Source organism: Homo sapiens, chromosome 8 (assembly GCF_000001405.40).
Source record: "Homo sapiens chromosome 8, GRCh38.p14 Primary Assembly".
Classification (NCBI taxonomy): Eukaryota; Metazoa; Chordata; class Mammalia; order Primates; family Hominidae; genus Homo; species Homo sapiens.
Window position 1 is genome coordinate 133,000,316 of NC_000008.11, and position 27,409 is coordinate 133,027,724.

The 27,409-nt window shown below is 45.9% G+C and overlaps 1 protein-coding gene, 1 long non-coding RNA gene and 1 pseudogene across 13 annotated transcripts in view, besides 1 other annotated feature; 2 read left to right on the forward strand and 1 right to left on the reverse strand.

Annotated features, from left to right (window-relative positions):
* Positions 1–27,409, forward strand: part of TG (thyroglobulin) — a 267,942-nt gene that overhangs the window by 133,358 nt on the left and 107,175 nt on the right. For 9 of the 12 annotated variants that reach the window (NM_003235.5, XM_017013794.2, XM_006716622.4 and 6 more), the window contains 5 exons: positions 11,586–11,720; positions 13,285–13,449; positions 17,463–17,682; positions 19,287–19,380; positions 21,676–21,835. In NM_003235.5, coding sequence (NP_003226.4) covers positions 11,586–11,720; positions 13,285–13,449; positions 17,463–17,682; positions 19,287–19,380; positions 21,676–21,835 — 774 coding nt within the window. Of the gene's footprint in view, positions 1–1,457; positions 2,845–11,585; positions 11,721–13,284; positions 13,450–17,462; positions 17,683–19,286; positions 19,381–21,675; positions 21,836–27,409 lie in introns of those variants that run through there. The other 3 variants (XM_017013800.2, XM_017013799.2, XM_005251040.5) reach the window with 2 other exon arrangements.
* RPL21P78 (ribosomal protein L21 pseudogene 78) lies at positions 2,262–2,800 on the reverse strand (annotated as a pseudogene).
* Positions 13,456–17,271, forward strand: LOC105375768 (uncharacterized). Its single transcript, XR_928666.1, has 2 exons — positions 13,456–14,521; positions 16,053–17,271. It is a non-coding gene; the product is annotated as an uncharacterized LOC105375768 (long non-coding RNA).
* Positions 16,365–16,494: an enhancer, noted in NCBI's record as "active region_27992". NCBI's record gives its function as "activates an Ori minimal core promoter by ATAC-STARR-seq in GM12878 lymphoblastoid cells {active_cell/tissue: GM12878}" and the evidence as "EXISTENCE:reporter gene assay evidence [ECO:0000049][PMID:35858748]".

Genomic DNA, 27,409 nt, shown 5'->3' on the forward strand with positions numbered 1-27,409 from the left:
ACCCTAGCTCCCTCCACCCCTTGCCCTCCCACAGGCTGGAAAGATCAGTAGCAAACTGTGACTCTCACTGTATGAGAAGCTCTGCTTTACGGTTCAGGTGGTAAAACTGTTCCTGTTCACAAATTAAAACAAAAGACCAATAATTGAGACTTAGCGTATAATTTACTCCAAGTCACAGAGCTGGCAGGAGGCAGAGCTGGCATCTGGCCAGGCAGAGTGCCCCAGAGTGGTCCTTCCTTAAAATGTGCAATGCCACCTCTTAGAGCAGGAGTGACCGGAAGAGTCACATCAGACAGCTGCGTGTGGATGGAAGGAGACAACACACGGAGCACATCACATTATGTCTGTGCCGCTTCGTACAGGAGATGCTTCAACCCTATGAGCCATTTGACTATGTGCATGCGATAGGGTGGGAAGTATCAGTATGATGAGCATTTTATGCTAGAGAGCAGCACTGGGGCAGAGCAGGCCCTCTGTAAATCAGTGAGTGGATGCTGTCACCGAGTGCACACTTATTTTGTTACTTGGCTGCAGCTGCCATAACAAAGTACCACGAACTGGGTAGCTTCAACAACAGACATCATCTTCCCACAGCTCTGGAGGCTGCAAGTCTGAGATCAAAGTGTAGACAAGGTTGATTCCTTCCAAGGTCCCTGTGGGAAGGATCTGTCCCCAGCCTCTCCCCTTGGCTTGTAGATGGCACCCTCTCCTTGCACCTCTTCACTCCATCTTCCCTCTGTGCACGTGTCTCTGTCAACATTTCCCTTTTTTACAAGGACACCAGACCACCATTGGATTAAGGCCTACTCTAATGAACTCATTTTAACGTGATTATGTCTGTTAAGAGTCTACCCCAATAAGGTCACATCCTGAGGACCTACGGGTTAGGACTGCAACGTGTGAATTTTGGGGGGGACACAGTTCAACCCATGACACCTACTGTCACCCCTCTGCTAAGCACTGAGATGCGGAGTCGAAGATAAGAGTGTGCTCACTGAAGAGCTCAACAGTAGGTATTTGGAGGCTGAATGGAGAGGTCAGGATGTCTGGGTATTTTTCTAGGGTTGTGAATGTTGAAAGAGGCCCAGGAGTGTCTGCTGCAAGTGTAAAGAATTTCTCCTGGAGAAATGCTGAACCAATCAGCAGCTCTCCTCCCATTTTCATTCTGCAAATAACCACAACATTACAAGGATGTCTTTATTTGGTCTTCCTTCCTTCTGTTATCAAAGGAACATCTGGTCTTTGATAAATGCTGTTAAGAACAAACATAGGCCACTATGTCCTGGTTCTCACTTGAATGATGGTCTCTGGTGAGAAAGCAGGATGTCTCAATGCAATGTTGTCTCCGTCCGATGACGACAGGGAGACGTGAGCTGGGCTCTTCCTTCCAGCAAGTGCCCTGTGGCCGTACAGGCCTCCAAGGCAGCTTCCAGTCACTTCTATTCTGCTTATCACAGGGATCATGAAGGTTTGCTGGGGGCCTGAAAGACTTTTCCTGCCTGAAAGGTTTCAGAATGTCACGGTTTACCCCAGCCAGCCTGTGCAGGTGTGGAAACCGCCTCTTCTATTTCCCAGCTATTCCATATTCAGGAGCAATCACTTGATGAGTGCTGAGCAGCTGAAAGAAATTCCTCTTGGTTTTGATTGCGGGAAGAAGGGTGAGGATCCTGAAGACTTTTGGATGCCTTGGACTCACTGTTTATTTTTGATGAGTCCTAAGAAAGTCATGTGATCTTTTTATACAATAAATGGGATGGGTCTGTGATTATTTGAACGTTGGAGAGAGTGTCAGGCATTTGCTGCCGGTTTGACATTCTGCCCTTGGATCTGATACAAAAATGCTTGGAGGCACTTTCCGCCTGTTTTTCAAATGAGGGAGGCAATGGCCAGAGCAGAAGCTCACCTGTCATTACCTGCCAGCAAGCGGCAGACCTCTGCCTGTGGGGTGCATGCAGCTCTATAGTGATGTGTAATTTTTTGGGCAATTTTTAATGTAAATTATTTTACTTCTTCCATGATGATTTAGTTGGACTGTCTTTAAACCAGTACAAATATTTCATAAATAATATCTGGCCACTTTCTAAGCGATTAATTTGTTGCTCAATAAGCCGCCTCACATCTTTCAGCAAGAAATACATTAAATCTGAATAGCAAATACATTACACAATAAATTCAGACACAATTAAAATTTGCTTTAAATATTTCTTTGGGGGAGAGGACATCACACTTCTACTCAATGAAGAGAAACATTTTTACAGTCTGATGTCTTATATTTTATTTTAACATCTACTATGCCATGAACTCATAGGGAATAGGTTCTAGCAGCTCTGGCCTTTCCCACTGGTTCTCACACAGTGCGCTTCTCTGCGTGGAGCAAGCTGGCGCTTCAGTTGAGCCCAGGTACCCTTCTCTTGGGCTTCTTTTTCTGATCATTTTCCTTCACGTGTTTCAGGAAGCTATCTTGACTCCCAGAGTGCTTAATGTGCTCAATACCCACATTAATTCTCTTGTCAAGAATCATGCCCTTGTTCATTTGCAACAATGCCAGCAGTACACTGGGGAACATTGTAAACGCTTCCAGTTTTGCCATGGTAACACCTGTGGGTTATACCTTTTTGAACAGTGCCCATTCCCTTGATGCCTACCATATCACCTTTCTTACAGATTCACATGTACCTGGCCAAACGAACAACTCCATGTTTTCCAAAAGGCTTGGAGAACATACCAGGTACCTCTCCTCTTTCCCTTTGTGTTTGTCATTTTGGCGAATTACTGGAAGATGGTGGTTCCAGCTGAAAGGCTTTTTGGCAATTTTTAACAGCTGAAAATAAACCTTGAAATAAACATTTTCTCCTTTAACTGATGTCTGGGAAGGAAGAAACAAAAAAAGAAAGAGAAGAAAGGAAATAAGGAAGGAGGGAGGGAGAGAGTGAAGGAGGGAAGAAAAGAGAATTAAACACGATTATCTACATATCAATGGAAAATTTCAAATATATTCTAGCATAATTTTTTTCTACTTAGTATCCATTAAAAAAGGGAATCATTGTGGAATGCTTAAATCAATCAAATGAACACAGCCATCCCTCGGATACTTATTTTTTTTTTTTTTTGTGGTGAGAACATTTGAAATTGATTCTCTTAGTAGTTTCGAAATGTGCCATATGTTAACTATAGTCACTGTGCTGTGTAATAGATCTCAAAAAGTACTCCTCTGCATCATATACATATATCATAACCTTGTATTATACCCCATAAATATGTATAATTATAATCTGTCCGTTAAAAATAAAAATTAAGCTTTAAAAAAGGGGATATGGTGCTTTCTAGAAAGGAATAGAAGTGCCTCCATGTCACCCAGAGGCCCGCCTGTGCAGAGACTGCAGCTGTGCTGCCTCCAGGTTGTGAGGTGACCCAAGCTGCCCCCATCACCTCCTGCCTCTTTGCTGCCCCCATCATCCCTCCCAGACCCTTCCTTCTCCTCTGCCCTTGTCCCCTCAGCAGCTCTGGTTTGCAGGGGGTATCACCATATAGGGCTGTCCTGGGTGCAAACACTGACTTGCTGCCTGCCTTTCAGCTGTTTGGTCTTGGGCAAGTCAGTGGCCCTCTGTGAACCTCACTTTTCCCTCCTATAAAGTAGGGTTAGGACAGTTCATCTCAATGAAGTACCATTAGATGGAACCAGTTAATCTTTACATGACTTTTTAAGCACTTCTTACCTGCTAAATAGATAGTAGCACTCATTGCTAGTCTATCTGGTCACAGAGGAAAGAGGCTGTATGACCTCAATGAGTCTCTCTTCCTTCAGGGCCACTGTTGCCCCTCTGCCCATGGAAGGGGCAAGGCCTCTTACTTCCAAGGGCATATTCTCCTCCAAGGCTTAGGGCCTTCTGGTGAGCTACTCCTACTCACTGAAAGAGTCACCAAGACCTTTAACCACCATGCTGTGGGGCTGTATAAGGGCTGGGAAGGTGCCTACTAGCTGCTGGGAATGAGGGCTGATCTGTCAATTACCACCTCAATGAGGAGATCCAAGACTATATAGCACAGCAGAAGAAAAGCACAGTTCCTGTGTCCTGCTGGTAGGACCTCAACTAAGTTCTGCACTGTGACCTGGGGCTGCCTCTGTAACCTTGGGGGTGCCTCTGTAACCTTGAATGATGCCTCTATAATCTTAGGTGGTGTCTCTATGGTCTGGGGGAGTATCCTGTGGTCTTTCCTCCAGTGCCTCAGTGTCCCCATCTGTTATGAAGATCAATGCGAGTTAACATAAGTAACTGAAATTACATTGTAAATCGATATTGTTTTCACTTCTGAATGTGTGTTGTGTTTGGTGAGTGGGTGAGAGTAGGGGACACACAGGACCACCCTGTAAAAGTGGAGGGTTGCAATGCAGCTGGAGTGACTGACCCTGCCAACCACACATCTGCCTGGTACCCTGGAGGACCATAGGTGGTGAGTGCTGTGACCAGATGCGGATGTTAGAACGGTTTTGGTTATCCCAGCACCAGCATGAGAATGGCCTGAGTGGGCTGAGACTCATGATCAGGAGGCCCTTGTTTGGAGCCTGCATGGTAACTGCAGTGAAATTGATGAGGCCAGAACCAGGTGGAAAAGAAAAGACAGTTCCTAGAGGGGCTGAGCATGTAGACTCCACTGGGAGGAGGCGATAAGGATGATAGGATTTCTGGTTTGGACAATGGAGGGAGTGGTGGAAACATTCCCTGAGGAAAGAAAGAACATGGTGTACGAGTGAAAAGGAGCACTGGGGGACAGTAATGGCTTCATTTTGGGACTTGCTAAGCTCGTGAAACCTTGAAACACTGAAGTTTATAGATGTTGCTGCAATTCAGCAGCAAGTTTCCCATGAAAACTGAGGCCCAGCCCATGGCACCGCAGGCACACTGCGCAGGAGGTGAGAGGCTGTGGAGGCCCTCCTGGGCAGGAAGCAAGCTGCCCTGGGACAGGGGGACAGGGGGACAGTGGGGCGAGGGGAGGAGGGGTCAGGTGGAAGTCAGGAGTCAGATGTTTGGTGGGGACATAACTGGCAGTAGTTTGGGCTCCTGTGCCCCTTAAAGGACACCCCTGGTACTTCCATCCAGGCTGAGAGCCCCATCATTTTGAAAAAACAGTGTCCAGACTGCATCAGGAACCAAGTAGCTTGACCCAGAGACGGTGAAGGTGGCTGTGTTTGCTGAGCATTTCCCCTGGGCAGCAGCTCACATCTAGTAACTCATTCATTTGTGGTTACAACCCTAGGAGAGACAGTCATTTAATATCACCATTTTATAGATAAGGAAACTGAGGCTCAGAGAAGGGGAGTGGCTTGCCCAAAGTCACACAGTGTAGTCTGGCTGCTTTACTGTGTCCCATTTTTGACATACACTCATAGCCAATTGTTAGTGTCAGCTGCTGGGTGTGTTCAACTCTTCTCTGGTTTCTGGCAATATAAGGGGGCCCTGATGTTATTCTCTAACCAGCGTTGGCTCCCCGGGAGGTGTGCAGAGGGCTGTGTGGTCTCGCACCACTAGGGAGCATGCCAGTGAGCATGGAGGGCATCCCTTCTTACCAGGCAGGACAGTCACTGTGTAGGAGCCAACCTGTCCGGCTTTCCTCTCGGCTCACCTCTCCCTCCTACTCCATCTTCTCCCTGCACTGGAGGAAAAGAACTCCTTTCCTGAGGCCTGGATCCAAGGGCCTCAGAGCAAAGGTGCTGATGGATTAATTTACCCCACAAACGCAATGGTCCATGTGTCATCTACAGAGAGACATTATGCTTATTAGAGATCATGAACAAGGGCAATGCGTAACACAAAGATCTTTAAAATTAGAGTTTCTCAGAGTAGTTAAGGGACTTGCCTGAGGACACACAGTGTCAGGCTGAGTGAGGTTTAGAACTCAGAACTGTTTCTTCACTAGCCTAAGCTGTGTCTCCAGCAATCATGGCCAAAACAAAACCAAAACCAAAAAGGATATCTTAGAGACCACAGTCATTTTCAAACTTGGACGTGTGTCGGAATCACCAGGAAAGTTAATAGACTACAGAGGCCCCAGCTCTTTGAAGTGAGAACTGGGCCTGGACTTTGGAATTCTTGTCACATTTCTCAAGAGAATCTGATGCTCACCCAAGTTTGAGAACTACGATGGACGGGTAAGAATCATCTTAAATGTTTTGGCTTCTTAGACTGTTTTTCCAGGCTGCCACCGTTGGCTGTCAGGTACAGTCCTGGAGTATCAGAGGAGGCCCGTAAATAGTTGTTGAATGAATACATGATTGAAAGAACAAATATACACAGCTGACTTAGTTAATACCGCAGGTTTCCAATCTACTGCCTCGTGGAGGCATATCCTTGCTAGACCGGAATATAGTTTTGGTCCTGTTTTCAAAGTAACCACACAACAAAGAGCCTATTAATATTATGAATAGTCAGTTGTATTTTGATAGTAATAGAAAAGCCAGTAGACTTGAACAGGAAAAAATAGGCAAATAATTTAAAAGATGAGATGTTAATTTTTTAGTTATAGGTTTTTTGAATCACGATTTCAGTTTTGAATTTTTTAATGTGATTTGGCCAGTGGTTTTAAAATGTGTATTAGAATGGGCCATAATATGTAGTCAGTTGGAATCTCAGAAAACCTGGCACGTTTTAAGGTTTCACAATTTTATTTTGGCCATTTTTATGTTAATTTTTTTTTAGTAAACTCCTGTCACCCAGGGAGATATTTGTTGAAGTGTTGACTGGAGGTTGGCTGTCCGGTATTTTGTTGTTTTAGTTTGGGATGATTTATTTTTTATTGCAAGAATTTAGTAAAGCAGGCAGAGTTCAAAAGACAGAGCCTTTTTAATTTAGGCCTTTAAAATTATGGACTTTATTTTTATGCTAAGTCTGAAATGTCATGGGACTGGAGTGGCGCTGGAAGGAGTAAGACCGGGAGAAGGGGGAGGAGAGGCGGGGACGGAAGAAAACACAAGAGTTGACTTTGTAAGTTTTTTTAATGTGTTTTTAAATTTTTTTTTAAGTTTATGGAGTCCTTTTGTTTCCATTGAGTGTGTAGATCAATTAGTTTGGGGATTTTTTACAAGGCTTTTTTTGTGCCCGTTAAAGTCTTTAATTTTTCTTGGGCCAGATATTGTTACACAGACCAAAAATATAGCCAGCCAGATAAACAAAAACTAGAATTAGACCAGACTGAGTATTTTAGTGGAGGTAGGTTTTTAGTATTAGCTTCATTTTTGGAGAACTCAAGTCTAAATTATATTTGGGACTTGACCCTGATCAGGATTTGTTTTAGGACGGAACTCGAACTTATAATTTTAGACAAGGATAGAACTTTAATTTATAATTTTGGACTATAAAAATAGGACTTGAATTTATAATTTTATGATGGGATTAAAGACAATTAAAGGCATAGGCATATATTAATGAGGTATTTATTAGAAATATGTCTAATTTAGTTCTTTTTTTTTTTTTTTTAAGGAAAGTAGTGTCAAGGGAGCCTGGAGTGTTGAGGCAGAGAACTAGGAATCTTCTAGTCAAATCTTTAGACAAACCAGTCTAGGTGGCCACTCAGGGTCAGTAAAGGGGACCCATACCCCACTAAAAGGATAGAGTATCTTGAACCAGTTTTGTCTCACCCATGTCTGTGAGTTTCATTGATGGTGATTTTAGTAAGTTGTCCTGTTAGAAAATATAAACACATAAGTAAATAGCTTTTCTCTATGTCAACAATAACCATTTTGAAAATATAATGGAATAATATCATATTCTATTCTTAATGGCATCAAATATTAAGTTTAATATTAAATAACATTCAAATCAAAAAATTTCTCTCAAATTAATGTTTAACTTTGAGATCATTCCAAGTAACCCAATGAAGCTTTCTTGAACCTTGAAATGGTAAATTTTATCCAAAAGAATGAATAGCCAAGGAGATATTTTACAAAACAAAATAATGTGGAGAAACTTTTACCATTTGATGATAAAATACAGAGTGACTATGGTTTAAGCAGGATGGAGGCAGAGCCAGGATTTGCAAAGACATTCATGGAAAAGAAGAAACACCCACCAAAACAAATTCACTTACAGATAAGTACTCACGATGCGATAAGCATGCATTTTGAATTAAAGGAGAGATTATATTTTAAAATAAATGACACTAGCATTGCAATCTATGAACTAAAAATAGAAAAATGAAAAAAAAACAAAATAAAAATTAATCAATAAACCATAGACTCTACTTTTCAGGAAAAGACTCACACTTTGGGTGAGCTTGGAAGCTGCTACCACCTCATTCATCTGGAGGGGAAGTCTGTGATGTACTAACTCTGGGTTCTGTACCTGCAAGAACTGGCTCCAGCCCTAGCTAGCGCTACCACTTAATTAGCCATGCTAACACTGGCTAAGCCGATTGGCTAAGCAAAAGGGTGTATTACTGGATCGTCTGTTTCCTTGTCTGTAAACTTGGACAGTGACAGTACCCACCTCATTGGTTATCATGAATACTAAATGCAGCAGTGTTGCAAGTTCCTAGCAAATAGTAAACTCTCACAAAATGCTGCCAAGAGCCCCAACTTTCCTGCTTCATCATCCTTCTGCCTCCACAAAGAGTTTGTTCTCAGAATTTTCATGAGATACTTGTGGACCTCCCAGATGTTGGATTCTGCACAAAAGCAGTGACTCATCCAGGGGTTCATGCAGGCCAGGGGACAGTGGCAGGTGGAGGGAATGGCAGGACTTGGCTCCAGGCCCTGGAATGGTGACAGATGAACTGGTTTTCACTTGGAGATGAAATTCACTCTTTAATTATAGTGCTTTCTCCCAGACATCAACCTAAACACAGAGTATGGCCAAGGCTTCCATTTTAAGACCATAATTGGTGAGTCTAGCCCTAAAACCCTTTCATAGAACTTCTCTAAAATTGCAGTGTTCTCACCCTCTAAAAATATGCAGCTCAGTTTGGTCATGTTGCAAAAATGCCCCTTATATTGACCATGAAAATAGCAACATGTGGAGGATGCTTAAGAAAATGAAAACCCAGCATCTCTTGCAGTCAAGCCAGGTCCCAACTTCAGGAAGACACATCTCCTGAGTCTTAGGATGGCACCCACTGCTCCAGGACAGAGTATGGAGGTTTACCTTCCTCTTGCCGGGCCTGGGTGAAACATTATGTTATTTGGCAACTTCTCTGGATGAATCTTTTCTCTCTCTTATTTTTTCTTTCTTTTTTTAATGTAAAAAAGTATAGACATGTCATAGACTGAATGTTTGCATCCTCCTCAAATTTGTATGTTGAAACCCTAACCTCCAATGGGATGTTATTAAAAGGTGGGGCCTTTGGGCACTGATCAGGGTGCAGAGCCTCATGATGGGGTCGGTGCCCTTCTAAAAGAGGCAACAGAGGGCTCGCTTGGTCTTTCTGCTCTCTGCCATGTGATGATACAGCAAGAAGACAGCTATCCATCAAGCAGAAAGAGGGCACCACCAAGAACCCAATCATGTTGGCCCCCCGCTTTCAAACTTCCAGCCTCCAGAACTGTGAGAAATAAATGTTTGTTGTTTAAGCCACCCAGCCTATGGTATTCTGTTATAGCAGCTTGAGCAACCAAAACATGGCACTAGATTGTTTTGCTGCTTTATTTACCAGTCTAATTTTAGTGAACTCTCCACCAGTGTGCTGGTTGTCAAAGACAGGTTTAAGATAAAAATTATAAACTTCCCTGTATAGCTAAGAACAGGGTGTTATCAAAGGCAAAGACCCTTTCATACCTGGGGATAATGTTCTGGAAAAGGTGCTCAGCTGCATAGGAAACTCAGACAGGATAGAAGGAGCATTGACTTAGAGCCAAGACATCTGATTCTCTTCTGGCCTAGTTATTTTCCAGCTCCATGTTCTGAAAAATGTCATATAACTTCTCTGAGTTTCTGACTCCTCCTCTGTGAAAGAGGCACTAGAGCCCCTACCCAACCCCTCATTTGGGTGCTTTCGGGATCAAACATGATGATGAAGTGAATATGGTTTGTAAACTTCAAAGTGCTATGCTTGTGATCGCCATAGTGTTCTGCTAACACAAGGTAAATGCTACCAAATATTTATTAAAGGACACACTACTGTGGTCTTCTGGGAAAAGAAGCAAGAAAACAAGAAAGAAGAAAACACAAAAGCAAGCAAGAAGGTGTGTGTATGTTACAGAGAGACAGAGATTTTCTTTATTAATGATCACTGATGCCCCACTGAACATCTCTGCAGGAGTGTTCTGGAATCAGCTCTCCCGAATGATCATGGAAGCCTATCTTGAGAGGCAGCCTTTCAAGCTCTTCAGTGTTATTTGTGGAAAGTATGATACATCCATTGACCTAGACTCACAGTCCTTTGTCTCAGTGGAAACTTAAGTGGAAACTCAGGATCACCCTCACTTCGTCTGGCTCTAGGCACGGCCCTTGCACCAGATGGGACGAGCTCACCTCCTCACCTCTGCCCAAGCCATCTCTGTGGCTGCTATGCCTGTGCTTCCCTCCCCCATGCTGAGACAGCCACGTCCTACGTACAGGACTAGGGAGGCAGCACCAGAGAGCAGTTGGAGGGCACAAGCTTCACTACATACAAAGGCCAGTTCCAATCCTGTTCCACCGAGCAGGAACAGTGCCCTCACAGGCCAGTCATTTTAACCTCTTGTGTCTTATTTTCTTCATATATAAAGGAAGACGTCTTAGCTGGGGTTTTCCGAGAAGCAGACTCTCAGATGGAGATTTGCATGCAAGAAGCTTGGTGCAGAGCATGCTTGGGATATAGAAGGAAGTGAGGGGCAGGATTGGCCAGAGGAAGAAGAACTTTGATGCAAATCAAATGATGGCCCCACTGATCTTCCAGTGAGCTCTGAAGCTAGGCTGGCCGTTCAGATTTGTTCCATCTTGAGGCTGGGGGTACGAACCTTTATCTACCCCCATGGACAGTGTTGGGATGCAGGCTGTCCATGGGGAAGGGGAGGCAGTTCTCTTAGATCAAAGACAATTCCTAGAGAGAGACTCAGTTGGGAGCTGCCAGCCATCAGCTTAACAACAGTTGGGGAAATGAGAGCCTTGGTCCTGCAGGGGGGTCTCAGTACTGCAGGGGGTCTAAATGGCACCCCACAGTGTCCCTTACAGAAAACAACTGATAGCAACTGGTGTAGTGTCTGTAAAGACCTGAGCATAGTACCACATGATTAACCTGATATGTCTGTTAGTATCATTACCTCATATTATTTTAACTGTTGCTTTGTAACAATTATATCATGATGTTTTTCTTTCTTCTCAACTTCTCTCCCATTCTACTATGAGCTGCTTAATAGAAACAGCCATGCTTTCTGTTTGTTTCGTTCTGTTTTCAACCTTTGTATTCCTAGGCTTGAGCACAGAATCTGGCTCATAAATAATTCAATAAATACTTGTAGAATGGAAAGATGGATCAAGCTATAAGGTTGCACAGGAATGGAGACCAAGAGGAGGATGCCCCTAAGGCTGCCTTTGGGGATATTGGGTAATACACGGCTGTCTTTGTTACTCACCAGGTGACAACTGCATGTGACTGTCCGTTGCCTTCTCTCCTAGTGTCTCTGGACTCGTGGCAGTCCCTGGCCCTCTCTTCAGTGGTTGTTGATCCATCCATTAGGCACTTTGATGTTGCCCATGTCAGCACTGCTGCCACCAGCAATTTCTCTGCTGTCCGAGACCTCTGTTTGTCGGGTAAGGGGAGTTTCCAACCCACAGGTTGGGTGGGACAAAACCTCACACAAGTGCTGCTCAAGATTCTCAACTTAGAAAAACACATGAGACACTACGATAACCTAGGATGCTTGGAAGTAAGGGATTAACCTGGGGAAGAAGACCTGGGTGAAGTCTCCTCATTACCCCACAGGGCAGCCAAGGTGTCCAAGGGAATATGCCAGCCAGAAGATGAGGGACATAAACCCAGGTCAGAGGAAGATCAGAAGAATGATCTAGTGGGTTAGTCTGAGGCAGGAAAGATGCACATGCGTGGCAGCTCTGGCAGCTGACCTCAGTTAGCAGGTGGGCTGTTGTGGTGAGGAGGAAGTACACTTGTCTGGCCAGTGGGATACACCTAAGAGCTATTGTTTTGGTAAAACTCAAATTTTGGGAGACATTTTTCAATGCAGTTGAATGACTTTTTAATAGGCAAAGCTGCCCACAGATGCATAATTCTTTTAGAGAGTTTTTGGTCATTGTTGGTATTTAAACAAAAGCTAGGTAACCACTTGATGGGAATGTTCTACAAAGAATTTTAGCTTCTGAAAGAGGGAGACATCAGATAACATTTATACCCTTGCCAAGATTCTAACCCCCACTGAGGTTCTATGAATTCCATGAATCTCCTTCTCTGCAAGGTTGGATAATAATATGCACAAAGCTATGCATATCTTGCAGATTGGACCACCATGTACAGATATGCAGGTTATGCACTGCACACCTCTGGGTGGTACCATTCACAGAAATTGAGCTATAAATAGGGCTCTTAGGCTGTCAACAACCTGATCAATAAAATGAAGCAGCACTTTTTCAGAACTGTTCTTAGGACTGAATGTCATATAATTTAAGTTGTCTAGTGCAGAACTTGACATGCAAGGGAAAGGGCATGGTCCCTGGTGGAACACTGGGTATGGTGCCAGCTGAGGAGGCATTGAAGAACAGGAGAGGAAGACAGGGCTGAAGATAAAGGCCGGAGTATGGAGAGCCTTGTTTGAGGTAATCCTTAAGTGCATGGGGAGCCATGGAGATATATTAAGCAGGGAAATAACAAGAGCACATTTATAAATTAAATAAACAAAAAAGACCTTAATGCTGCATGGAAAGTAGATTGATCAGAGGGTTGGGTTTCTCATTGCTACCATTTTATTTCCATCCCCTGGTACAGTGCCTAGGATTTATTGTAGTGCTCACATAAATGAGTGATTGCATGACTGATGGATGGATTCATGGATTCATGGATGCATGAGCGGATGAAAGGATAGATGGATGGAAGGGTGGATGAGTGGTTGGGTGGATGGATGGATTGATGGATTCATGGATACATGATTTGATGAAAGGGTAGATGGATGGAAGAGTAGATGAGTGGATGGGTGGATGGATGAATGGATGGATAGACGGATGGATTCATGGATGCATGATTGGATAGAAGGATGGATGGATGGAAGGGTGGATGAGTGGATGGTTGGATGGATGACTGGAAGAATGCATGAGTGAAGTAACATCTCTGAGGCCCAAGCATCACTCTTCTCCCTCTTTTCTGCAGAATGTTCCCAACATGAGGCCTGTCTCATCACCACTCTGCAAACCCAACCTGGGGCTGTGAGATGTATGTTCTATGCTGATACTCAAAGCTGCACACATAGTCTGCAGGGTCAGAACTGCCGACTTCTGCTTCGTGAAGAGGCCACCCACATCTACCGGAAGCCAGGTAAGCCCAAGCCTATGCCTTTGCAGCCATCCTGGGAAACTGGGTCTGGGGAAGGGACTATTTAAACACTTGGTGAGTTGGAGGACAGTGGCTTTTGTTGGCCAAAGTTCTGGGCTAGGTGGCACTCACTTGAGGTAGACTGAAGGAAGGTAGAAAAAATTCCTACTTCTGTATCAGTTTTATTCATTTATTCCTTTAAGTTATAGAAGCCATCTTGGTTTTGAAGCTTCTTAGTAAAATAATTCAAAAGCCCACTTTTTATTATGGTTTTGTAGTTTAGAGAGTTCTTTCACAGGCCTTATCTCATTTGGTCCTCACATTAATCCTGTGTGGTGGCAGGATAAGGGCTTTATCCCTGTCTTAGAAATCAGAAGGCTGTAGCCCAGATAATTTAAGTTAATTCTGTGATTTCACACAGCTAATGATGATGGAGCTGGAACTTGGAGCCAGATCACCTATCTCAAGATGCAATCCTCTCCCACAAAGCCATGCAGCCTAACTATCGCATCTAAACACTTCAGAGAGAGAAGCTGTTCCTGGCTGAGTTTAGTTTTAAAACACGTGTCAGATACTGTGTTGGTTCTGGGGCTCCAGGCAAGGCAAGAGGGAGTAGCCATAAATCCATCACTAAGTAAGACTGCTAAGAGCTGTAGAACAGGAAACAGGGACTGGGCATCTGGGGGAATCCCCTCCCCCACTAGACATATTTATTGGATGAAATTGATGACTGTTGTTAGCTACATCTGCCATCTTGTCTTCTAGAGCAAGGTTCTACAACCATTCTTTTCTGTTAACACTAATCAGCTGCTATTGTAGCATGGGAGCAGCAATAAACAACATGTAAGTCAGTAGATGTGACTGTGTTCCAATAAAACTTTATTTACAAAACCAAGTAGCAGCAGATTTGGCCCCATGCTGTCCTAGAGCATTGACAGTCCTTTGGTTCTGTCTTGATTCCAGAGATATCTTCCTCTTCTGCCCCCTCCTCAGCCTTAGCCTTCAGACCACAAGAGTGTCTTCCAGACCTGAGAATGCTTTGATCGCTAGGTGATGAGCTGTTAGGCCCTCAATCGTAAGTCTTGCCCTCTCTTTATCTGGACATTTATATTATTTAGTCAGGCTATGTAGATTTTTTTTCTGAGACAGAGTCTCACTCTGTCACTCAGGCTGGAGTGCAGTTGCACAATCTCGGGTCACTGCAACCTCTGCCCCCCGGGTTCAAGCGATTCTCATGCCTTGCTGGGAATACAGGTGCATGCCATGATGCCCAGCTAATTTTTCTATTTTTAATAGAGATAGGGTTTTGCCATGCTGGCCAGGCTGGTCTTGAACTCCTGGCTTCAAGGGATCCACCTGCCTCAGCCTCCCAAACTGCTGGGATTATAGATTTTAATAGTATATTTCACAACAGTGTGGGCAATCTGTGTGGTAGTTCTGCTGAAAAATGACTTAACATTGAGGTTTGAGTTCTGTAAAACACAAATTAGACTGCTTCTCTATTACTTCAGTGTGACTAAAATTCAATGGGAAATGCTCACTTCCAAAAGATGTGTGCACATATGCATCTACAGGTGTCTCAACTTTCACACAGACGTTATTTGTTTACAGCTAATACACATGGCCACAGATAATTTTCTTAACCCAGGTAGTCACGTGGCCTCTGTGGGTATTCTAGAAAGAATCTACCATTTCTGCAAAAGAATTTGAAAGAGATAACTTCACATCTAACATTTTCCCCGTGTTTGATCTCATTGAGTTGGGGATTCACTGGGCAGCCTCTGAAGGGAAGACTGAATACCACTGCCATGGGAAAGCAGGCCTGCATTCCCCCAAAATTCTTCAGCCTTTATATTTGTTCTGGCTTTGCTCCCGCCTTTGGATGTGCCACGTATACAAAATGTGGCTGTTTCCTGCATAGCAGAATGAGGTTCCAGCACTTCAGCAGCCACGGTCCTGAGTGCTTGCCCAAGACCCCTTGATTTATGATTGTGACAGGAAGTTTTGCAAGGAGGAACTATGGGGTGACATCAGCCATGATTTGTGATTGAGGCCAGATTAAAAAACAGCAACTGTTCCTTTCCAGCCTGAGTTTCCATTTTGAGTTCTAACTCATATTCCAATGTCTTTGCGACAGAGAAGGCTTCATTTGCTCTTTTTTTCCTCTTTCTCTTTTTTTCTCTCCCTGTGTCCCCCCACCCCTGCCAATTCCTTCCTTTTTTCCTTCCACTCATTCATTCATTTACTTATGTGTTGGACTTCTGCCATTTTTCAGGCACTGAGCTTGGAACATTACAGGTGTTATTATTTATTCCTGTTGTAGGAGATGCTATTGTTCCCATTTCATAGGCAGAAAGACTGTAAAGTTTTTCCAATAACTAGCTGTTCCATAAGCATAAAACCCAGATCTGCTTGACTCCTTAACCAATTCACCATGGTGACGCTCAGTGACCTGGAAGTCAAGGACAGACATGATACCCAGGCTTCTCAACCTCAGAACCCGCTGACATTTGGGGCTGGAGTATTCTTTGTTGTATATGTGTGGGAGCAGTGGTTGTCCTGCCTACTGTAGGATGTCTAACAACAGCCCTTGTCTCTCCCACCAGATGTCAGTGGCATCTCTCCCTGACCCCTGTGACAGCCAAAAATGTCTCCAGATGTGGCCAAATGTCCCCTGTGGGCAAAATTACTTCCAGTTGAGAACCTCTATATGATACAAAGCTCCTGCGGAGTAGATGGACTTCTGTCTGCAGGTCTATCTGCCTCCTCTCCCCACTGTCTTGTTTAGTCACCACTGCAATAGATACATATTTTTATAGAAGGATCTGCAGAGAAAGCAGAAAGGCTTTGTCTGTCAATCAGCCGAGAGTGGAGTTCAGCAGACCAAATCTACGTGTCAGAAATAAGAGACTTCTCACACACACTTGAAGTATCTCTCCATGAGTGTTTACCGCTTCCTTTGTGCAGGGCTTTGAGTCCTGTGTGGCATCAGACAGGCCTGTCTTAAGTTCCTGAAAACAGTACTTGGCACTGAGCCTGGGCCCAACAAAAGTTTACCAGATCAATCAATGAATGAAAGAAAATGTCGTCGAGGAAACAAGATAGGGCTACAGAGAAACTGATGAACGTCGCTGGCGATTAGTGTTGCATGGAGCAGGGTGGGAGGCATGGCAGGCGGCACCAGTGTTGGCCTTGTGGACAAGGAGGGATTTGGACATGAAAAAATGGGCAGGAGGGCCTCACAAGCTGGGGCACCCAGGGCAACCTTGGCGCAGAGAGAGGCAAAGCTCTGAACTGGTCCCAACCCTTTGTGCATGGGGTGTGGTCAGAGCTGGGGTTGAGAAAGGTGTGGCTTTGAATCCTACATCACCCTATATCACCTGTGATCCTAGCAGGCCCTAGGCCTCCACCTCTACATCTCTTCCCTCACTAATGAGATGTAAATGTGGGCCTGCAACCCCTGCACTGCAATTCTGAAACCCAAAAGTCCTAAAAGTCTTTTTTTTTTTTTTTTGGTAAGTTTACAGCTAACTCATTTGGCAGCAAAATCTGACATGGGTGGCTGAAGAAATTCTATTCTTTACTCATCTCTCTCAGGATGAGTAACCCACACATCTCACCACAGAAATGTTGGCTGTGTTTAAAGGTGGGGCTGCACTCCAGACCTCCCCAGGGGATTGGGTGTTGTTTGCTGTTTGCTTCTCTGTTCTTTCAAAAGGCCCCAGGGTGCTGGTAAAGGGTCCTGGGCCTGGATCCATGTATAGAAGGGATTAGCATTGCATTCTGTGCATTTTGGTGCCTAATAAAGATCAGCTGTTTTTGCCATTTTTTTTGTTTGTTTACATTGAAAACCTGACTACATTTAAGCTGTAGGGGTCTGAATGAATGATTGACATTTTCAAGGTGCAAAAACCGTGATTTTTCTTTTGTTGAAAGCACATTCAGAATGCCAGTGGAGAGAGCACTCACTGAGGCCTCTCCCCTTCCTCACCCCTTTCTCTTCCCTTTCCCAACAGGAATCTCTCTGCTCAGCTATGAGGCATCTGTACCTTCTGTGCCCATTTCCACCCATGGCCGGCTGCTGGGCAGGTCCCAGGCCATCCAGGTGGGTACCTCATGGAAGCAAGTGGACCAGTTCCTTGGAGTTCCATATGCTGCCCCGCCCCTGGCAGAGAGGCGCTTCCAGGCACCAGAGCCCTTGAACTGGACAGGCTCCTGGGATGCCAGCAAGCCAAGGTATGGGTTGAGTGGAGCACATCTTGGTAAATGCTCAGAGAAATCTCCTCCATTCTAATCTATCCAAATGGGACTCAGTAGCAGAGCAGTGCATTTTGGATAAAGCAATGTATGGAGGATGGAATATATTAGCTAAGATATCATTAAGTGCTGTGACAGATAAACTCCTAAGTAACAGTGGCTTAACACTGTTTTGCTCATGTAAAGCCCATCAGGTGATGGAGGGGCCTGTATGCTCTGCTCCATGCAGTGATTCAGGGACGCAGGCTGATGGAGGCTCTGCCTTCTTCAGCATGAATCTTCCAAGGTCCCCTGGACATTGATCCAGGAAGAGAGGCTGTGAAATAATTGACAGGAGAGGTTCCCATAGAATAAGCCTGGAAGTGGGGTTCACACATCACTGGCACCGCTATTGCAGTGGCCAAGCTCAGCTTCCTGGCCATATCTGATCTTAATGAAGCTGGGAGACACAGCATTGAAGGGAAAGTAAATGAGCTAATGAAATTTTTCCCACTAGGAAAAAAATTACAAGTTTTTTTTTTTTTTAGGGCACCCATATCCTATCTTCTTTCCTCATCAAAAATTTCATTTTTTCCTCTTTTCCATGTGTATACCACTTTAAATAGCAAGCATATTGAAGAACAATATTGTGATTTTTTTCTAATTAAAGCATACTCGGAGTATCTGTGAAAACAGCACTTATTACTGCTGCTCTTCTCCTTCCCAACTGAATCTCCTTCCCAACAGGTACCCCATGGCTCTATCCTCAGGCAGCTGCAACCTCCATACCCATTATCACCATGGCTGGCTGCTAAGCAGGTCCATGGGCCCATTACTAGATAGAGTGATGAGCTAGGAGGCTCTTAAAGTACTCCAGGAAAAGGGTGATAAGGGCTTCAGCTAGGATGGTGGCAGTCGGAGTGGAAAGGCATGGATTTCCATCTGCTCCACTGCTGGGAAACAAAAATAACAAATATGCGTGAATTAAAGTGCCTTACCATGTTAGGATGTACCCATTTGACAGATGAAATGACGGAGTCACATAGGTTTGAGTGGAGAGTAGTTGAGAGCTTGGGTCATTGTAGTCCAGGGCTAGTAAGGATTAGGTGATGAGCCAAGTCACCCATTGGGTAGATGACCATTGCGCTGCCATTAGTCATAGTCACAGCTGTAGTCAGCTCTCATACTGGGAGTTGCTCAAACCAGCACTGTAGGACTCTGTACTGGTGTAGAAAGCAGGTAGGACACCCCCTCCAGAGGAGAGTCTGCACTCTTGGAGCAAAGAAGGGCCAAGGTCCTGAGTGGCTTTCATTGTCTTCTTCTCTATCTCAAGCTGTTGCATCAGCAGACTTCTCTAAGTTGGTGCATTGTCTCTGGGGAATGTTCTTCCACAGGCCAGTGGCCAGAGAGCGGTGGGCACTCTGTCATTCCCTCCATTCACTGAAGCTGAATCTTTCCACTCCCATTTCCTGAAGCTGCCTAATTTCTGCAGAGCTGGTGGGATGCCAGGCTTTGGAATGGGGTAGTGGGCTCTGACCATGGTGGTGGGTGGGGAGGGGTGGTGATGGAGCATGTCTTGGAAGTCACCCAGTCTGTATCTGCAGGGCCAGCTGCTGGCAGCCAGGCACCAGAACATCCACGTCTCCTGGAGTCAGTGAAGATTGTTTGTATCTCAATGTGTTCATCCCTCAGAATGTGGTGAGTTCAAAAGCACTTGCTATGGTTGCCCTGAAGACTGTCCCATTAGAAATCCACTGTCCCCACTGTGGCCAGCACAGTTCAGTCTCCTCCTCTGTGGCCTGCTGAGCTGAGGTTAGGTGATTTGCCTAAGGACACTCAGTTAGTGAGTGATCTGTGGACTTGGTCAGTTGGTCCTCAGAGCTTGTGGCTAGAACCAGTGAGTGGTGACCATGGGCGTGTGCTTTTTCCATAGTGTCAGGAAGAAGACTGTGGACGTGGTTTGCAGTTTAAAGAGCACTTTTATATCTATGATTTTATTGGTCTTCACATCAACTCTAGGAGGATAGATAGATTGATAAATCGATTAGTCAATCAATTGATTGACAGAAAAATGGAGAGAGATATATTTACCCTTATCTTAAAGGTGCAGACCTGGGGCTAAGAGAGGCTAAGTGAGTTACATAAGGATATTCAGATGGGCAGAGTGGAGGCTCATCCCTGTCGCCGTGTTCCAAAGCCAGTGCTCTTTCTTCTTAGGGCATTTCCCAGTAACAGAGAGTTTGGCTTTTTCTGCCTTGGGCTGTCCGGGCCCCATCCTGACCTTGGAGGAGGAGCAGTGTTACCTCAGTCCAGATGGGCAGTACCTGGCCTCCAGGTGACAGGCCCTGCACAGGAGGGGCCAGCCTCCTGGACACTTCCTGTGGCTGTCGTTGAGGCGGGAGCTGAGGACTGCCTCTTCTTTCTGTGCCTTGCCCTTGCCTCAGCAGCCACAAGCCAAACGGCCTTTTCCCTTGTTGGTGAGCTACCCAATAAAGATGAGTCGGGCACTTTTAGGAGGGGGACACAGGGCCCCTTCACTGATCTGTCCCACAGAACAGGACAAATGAACTCAAGACCACTCAGGCTGGTCTTTCTCTGTGGCATTTAAAAAGACCTCATATTCGAAGAATCCACAGCCACCAAGTGGTGGCATCTGAGCTGGAATGTCAGAGAGGAAGAGACTCCAGGTCAGCCCCTTCCTCTCTGAAAGGCATTTCAATGAGTGACTCCACTGCTCTGAAACTCTGCTTTCACAGCTGTAGAGTGGGGTGCTTATGTTCACCATAGCTTCTACCACCTTGGGTGGAAGATCAAATGAGACACTCTAGGGCAGAGCCTTTAGCACAGCACTTACGGGGGCAGGTCCTCAGGCAGTGTTTGCTCACGTGAGGGGGCCCCTTTGTAGAAACATCTGTGTGTCTGTCTGAGGCCATCATATGTGGAGTGGTGATGTCACAAGGAGTCAGGACCTTGGATGGAGCACGAGTTACCGGGTGCCTGCCTACCCCATGGCCTGAACTGGGGCCTCAGATCCCCAGCTCAGACACACGATTCTAATATAATAGGGTCGGCCTACTTCCAAACCCTCAGCTCTGCTACCTCCTAGCTGTGTGATCTCAGGCAAGCCATTCAACATGTCTAAGCCTCTGCCTCTTCACCTGTCAAATGTGGATAATAAGAATCTGCCAACTTCACAGAACTGTTTGAGGCCCCATTGTAAACACTTGGCACAGTGCCTGGCTCCTAGTAAGTGCATACTAAACTCTAGCTCTGTGTTACCAAGATGGGTCCAGTCACAGAGCATCCAAGGGAAAGGGGACGCCAAGGACCCAGAATGCTTTTTTGGAATAAACCATGGGCCAGAACTGGGAGCTGGAAGGCTGTGTGTTACCATGAGACGGGCTCCAGGTCTGCAGGGAGCAGCCATCTCTGACACCTGCTCACTCTGCAATGTGGGAGAAGTGTCCTCACCTTTTGTGACCTTCAGTTTCCTTCTCTATGAATGGGGTTTAATAGTTGCTCAGGCTGCCATAACAAAGCACTGCAAGCTGTGTGGCTTAAACAACAGAGAGATTTTTCTCACAATTCTAGAGACAGAAGTCCAAGATCAAGGTGTTGCAGGACTGGTTCCTTCAGAGGCTCCTCTCCTTGGCTTGTAGATGTTCCTTTTCTCTTCCTTGTGTCTTTATGTGGCCTTCCCTCTGTACCTGTGTCCTGACCCCCTCTTCTTATAAGGACACCGGTCCTATTGGTGACTTCATTTTACCTTAATTACCACATTAGACACTATCTCCAAATACAGTGAACTGCTGAGGTCTTGGGGGCTAGGACTTCAATGTATAAATTTAGAGGGACACAGCTCCATCCACTGCATGGGGCTAAGTATGCCACAGAGCTGGCCAGAGGAGTCCTGTGTCAACCAAGAATCAGGCTCCAAGCATGGGAAAGGTGCCCTCCCCACACTTTAGCCTCATGTTTCTCCAATACCCACAGGCCCCTAACGCGTCTGTGCTGGTGTTCTTCCACAACACCATGGACAGGGAGGAGAGTGAAGGATGGCCGGCTATCGACGGCTCCTTCTTGGCTGCTGTTGGCAACCTCATCGTGGTCACTGCCAGCTACCGAGTGGGTGTCTTCGGCTTCCTGAGTTCTGGTGAGTTGCTGCCTCTGGTGGGAGCTGCTGACCCCCTGAGCCAAGGCTCAGCCCCTTTTCCCCAAGACCCATCCCCTCACTGCCCCTGCTCCTCCTCCAGCCAAGCTAGGCACACAGTGGAAATTTTAGCACATATGGGAGACCCTCCGGGGATACTGACACCCATAGACAAGGATGATAGTTGCCATTTATTGATAACTTACTACATGTCTGAGCTTCACTGCTCCAAGTCCATTACAGGTCTTATCTTGTGATGTGTGTGTATGTGTGAGTGTGTAGTTTAAAGAGGAAATTGAGGCCCAAGAAGATTAGAAACTGGCTTAAGACTATACAGTCAGGGAACAGCAGGGCCAAGAATTGACTTGCCCTGAACAACCCCAGGGGATGAGTTACATAGCTCTTCTGCCCACAGGGAAGCCATCTGATTTGGAATCAGGGCTGTATCAATAAGGAGATTCTCACCTCCTTTTAATACTGGCCTCACTTGTGAACAATGGCCTGTCCCTCATCACAAACCTGTTGATCACCCCATCTATGGCCTCCATCTTCCCCACTGACTCCTAGGGCTGAAGTGAGCCCTGGACCAACCTAAACATCCTCCATCCACGTCTTTTCCTCCAGCTACCACATGCAGCAGGGAATGTATCAGCTGCAGTGGTCGGGACAGAGTCACTGACCTAGGAATCTGAAGAGCCCAGGGCCACCTCCGGCTGTGGACCCTCAGACAAAACCTTTCCTTTCACCCAGTCTCAGTCTTGTCCTCGGTAAAATGGGGATAATTTTACCTGATTCCAAAGTTATGAGGAGGCTTAAATGAGGTAATACATGTAAAAGGGTTTCAGAGACTTGAGTTTTGCACATCTTCGAGGATAGTGACTGCTTCATCTCTGTTTCCCAAGGGTCTCATTTAAGATCTGAGATATCCTACGTGCTAAGTGTGGGTGGGTGAATGGAAGATAGGTGGTCGGAATGACCAGCTGGACTAGAATGTGTGTGAATGTGTGGGGTAGGCGTCCAGCATGAGCAGAAACCTGGATGACCACATGGCATGAGGCCTTGGATGCTGCTAAGAAGATTCTAGACTTATGAAATGGGCAACAAGTTAAGACAAATAACAACCAGATGTCTATGTAGATGAGGATGAGAAACAGATTTCAGATTTTTTTTGATGGGGAGCAGGGTCAGCTGGGAATCCAAGGACGGATATAACTTCCCCTTTCCTGGCTCTGAGAGACTCTGGGTCCCTCATTTGGCCTTTCCAAATCTCAGTTTTCTTGGTGGTAAAATAAGGAAAATTATCCCCACCCTCTTTCACATATATGTCGTGGTAAGAAGTGAATATGGTAACTGGGGTTTTGTGGAAGCTCTTTGGAGAGTGTTTAAAGAATTATTCACGTGTGAGTTTATTTTCCTCTTTGAAGAGGGAGACCTCTTGGCCTGGGTTTGCTTTCCTCTGTGTGAACACAAGACTGACCATAATTTGTGCCATTGGTAGCCCCTTCCTCTAGAGGTGGTGACATCAGGACTCGCCCCAAGGAGCCTGGGCCTGGGGAACTTTTCCCAGACATGGCTGTCTTGTTGGCTTAGAGCATTTCTAGACAGAAGAGAGTTTCCATATGTCGTCTGTCCCTCAGTGGGCGGGGGATTATGATTTCACAGAGTGTAATCTTGTTGAGAATTCATGTGCTTCTGGAGAGGCAAACTCATTTTGGCTGCCGGCAGGGGCAGCCTGTGGGAAGGAAACGGAAGCTTCCAGAACACCCAACCCGCTCATTCCTGATGTGCACCAAGCCTGCCTGTTCATTTTGCTCAAGGGAAAAACCATCAGCAAGAGAGAAGGAAAGTTACACTTATGGAGTGTGTCTGTCTTCACCAGATATTTCTCCTGGATTACCTCATCTATTTCTCACAGGAGATCTCTGAGGCCAGCAGGGAGCAGCCATTTCACAGATGGGTCAGCGGAGCTCAGTGAGGCTGAGGAATGTTATCGCCACAGTCACAAGTGGCATCCTGTGCCTTCAACTCTGTTGGTGGAACAACAAGAAATACTGTAGTGCAGGCAGCTCCCTCAGATGGCTGGACACGCCCTTTCAATTCCCTGTTCTTCAGCTGTGCTGAACAGTGTCTGTCTTTTGCATTCATTAGCCACAGGCCATTTTCTTTCTTTCTTTCTTTCTTTCTTTCTTTCTTTCTTTCTTTCTTTCTTTCTTTCTTTCTTTCTTTCTTTCTTTCTTTCTTTCTTTTTCTTTTTTTAATTTTACTTTAAGTTCTGGGATACATGTGCAGAACATGCAGGTTTGTTCCATAGGTATACATGTGCCATAGTGGTTTGCTGCACCCATCAACCTGTAATCTAGGTTTTAAGCCCCACATGCATTAGGTATTTGTCCTAATGCTCTCCCTCCCCTTGCCCCCCGCCCCCCAACAGGCCGTGGTGTGTGTTGTTTCCCCTCCCTGTGTCCATGTATTCTCAGTGTTCAACTCCCACTTATGAATGAGAACATGTGGTGTTTGGTTTTCTGTTCCTGTGTTAGTTTGCTGAGAATGATGGCTTCCTGCTTCATCTATGTCCCTGCAAAGGACACGATCTCATTCTTTTTTATGGCTGCATAGTATTCCATGGTGTATATGTGCCACATTTTCTTTATCCAGTCTATCAGTGATGGGCGTTTGGGTTGGTTCCAAGTCTTTGCTATTGTAAATAGTGCTGCAATAAACATAAGTGTGCATGTGTCTTTATCGTAGAATGATTTGGCGATTCCTCAAAAATCTAGAACCAGAAATACCATTTGACCCAGCAATCTCATTACTGGGTATATACCCACAGGATTATAAATTATTTTACTAGAGAGACACAGGCCATTTTCTTTGCCTTCCTTCCTAGCCTGCCTCGTGTGTCCCACATTCCCAGACTTCCCAGTCTCTCACATTGCGCCTCCGTGCTCTTCAGCTCTGAGAAGGGAGCAAAGACATTCACATCCTCACCAAATCATTCAGGAAACTGAGGCACAGAGATAAGGAAAGGGCAGAGCAGCAGCAGCAGAGCCATGATGCAGATTCAGGCTTCTTGCTATGGAGGAGCTATCTCCCGCCTGCCTCAGGCAAGCTCAGAGACAGGACTGAGCCTGGCCCTGCAGAGGCCAACAGGAAGCAGGTGCTCACATCCTGAAGCACAAAGGGGCCAGCCCTTGATCCCAGTTAATCCCCCAATAAGCCTGCGACACTGGTGCAACTGTTCCCTCTTTCATATTTTTTAAATAATAGATTTTATTATTTAGACCTGTTTTAAGTTTATAGAAAAGTGAGCAGAAAGGACAGAGAGTTCCCATACACTCCCTCTCCCCCTCCTTCTTGCCCTGCTATTTATAAGATGCTTTGGTTGGGCACATGTGTTACCCTTGATGAGCCGATGGTGGTGCATTATGATTTACTGAAGTCCACAGTTTACCTTGGGGTTCGTCCTGTGTGTTGGATGCTCTCTAGGGTTTGTGGGTTGCCTGATGTCCTGGACCCACCGTTACAAGGTCCAACAGGATCATTTTGTTGCCCTCCAACTTTCCTGTGCTCCACCTCTTCATCTCTCCCTTTTTCCAGTTTAAGTCATTGAAAATTGCAGTTCAGAACATAGATTTGGAAAGAGCTGGTTACTTTGCATGCCAGCCTCAGCCTAGGATTCTGCAGGGAATGTGGCTTTGCATCTGAGCAGGATGGGGTCTGAGAGCTGCTCTGTGGCTCTGTGGGGCCAAAACTCTGAGCAGCTCCTTCCTTCCCCATCCCAGTGCAGGCTGCCTGTCTGCAAGCAGAAGATGCTAAGTCTTGCAGGGCGTCTCACGTGAGATGAAGTGTGTGAGGACAAGCACCAGGACTCACCCATGTTTATTCCCTGCTTCTTCCCTAGACAGGGGCTCTTCCCAGGCAGGGCTGTGTTTTTATCATTTCCTGGCCCAGTATCTAGCTGCCTCCTGGCACAGAGCTGCCTCCTGATCTCAGCAGTGGCAGCCCTGTCACTCACAGAGCCAGGCTGAGCAGCCCCTCGTGAGCATCATCTCATTTGATAAATATGTGCAGCATCTGCTGCTGTATCCCAGAGTGAAAACGGTCCCTGAGAGCCCCAGACTCCAGAGGTACTTTGTGAAAGAGACCAGAGGAAAACGAAAGCAGAAGCTCGTGCCAGTCCTGAGGCCCACTAGACAAACGCATGCTCTCTGGTGAAAAAAGGCAAGCCCAGCCCAGTGTTTAAAAGGAGTCTTGGTTCCTACGGATGTGAGCAGTTGGAAAGGAAGCAGTTGCTGGGTGAAGGGAGGCCATTTCCCCAAGCCTGGACCCTGTAGCAGGACAGACCCCAGGGGGCATCTGGCACCAAGTTGTTGTTCCTCTCTGTCTGGCAAAGCAATGCAGTGAAGGGAACTGGGGTGGTGGCATCAGACGGGACACAGGAGGATAGGCTGGACAAGGGGCCTATGGGCTCTGCAGGGTGTGGGAGCAGAGGAAATGCGCTTTGGCCAGGACACCAGACAGAAGGTCCGGCTGCCAACGGTAACCACACATGCCATGACCTCATTGTCTCTGGGACACTCGGAGGCCTACTGAGCAGGTCTGCTCTCCTCTCTACCCAAAACAGGCTCAGAATGCTCCCCCAGTGGGTGCCCCCTCACAGGCAGGCTGGAGACAAGGACACACTGCTAGGAGCATCAGCAACATAACGTTAGAACCTACACTTGTTCTATTTTATTAAAAATTAATCTTCTATGGTGCTTTATGACAAGCACTGTTCTGTTCCCCTTACAAGTATTAACTAATTTACTCAACCTTATGAGGAAGTGCTATTATCACCCCCGTTTTACAGATGCAGAAAATCAAAGCACACGAACATTAACTTGTCCAGGGCCCCTCAAGGCTGTACCTGGTGGAGCTGGGACTGCAGCCGGCTGGTGTGGTTCCATGGCCACTACACTGCACTGCCTCTTGTTGATGTTCTCTGGAAAGACCAGGGCGAGCCCAGAACAGTGCTAAGGGGCTTCTATCAGATCGTTGAAGAGATCGAATGAGCAAACAAGAGCCAATTCAACAATGAGGGAGCAGGTGAATGCTTGCTGGGTGCTCTGAGCAGAGGAGTAGGAGCCAGGAGGTACGGGGCAGACCAGGGCGGGTGGCAGTGGATGGAGAAGAGTGTTAGTGCAGGCCTGGAGGGCTTCCATTCAGGTCAGTTCTCCCTGTGGGCAGCTGAGAGCAGTCCTCTGGTGTCTTGCCCCTGGGCCCAAGCCTCAAAGCACATCAGAAGGGGCAAAGAGTGTGCCTGTGGTATGACTGAGTGAGGTGGGGCCTGAGGATGAGAAGAACTGGAGCTGAGACACACAGACTGCAGCAGAGGGGGCGGCCCCTGGGCAGTGATGGGGACCCAGACTGATGAGATAGCCTCATGGCCCATCTTAGAAGGTCAGGAAGGCCAGGAAGAAGTTTGCACTTGATGCAGTAGGAATGAGGGAGGTATAAAGGCTTTTTGAACAGAGAAAGTTTCAGAAATAAAGCACTGAAAATTTTTAATGCACATCATAGATTTTTCAACAAATGTTT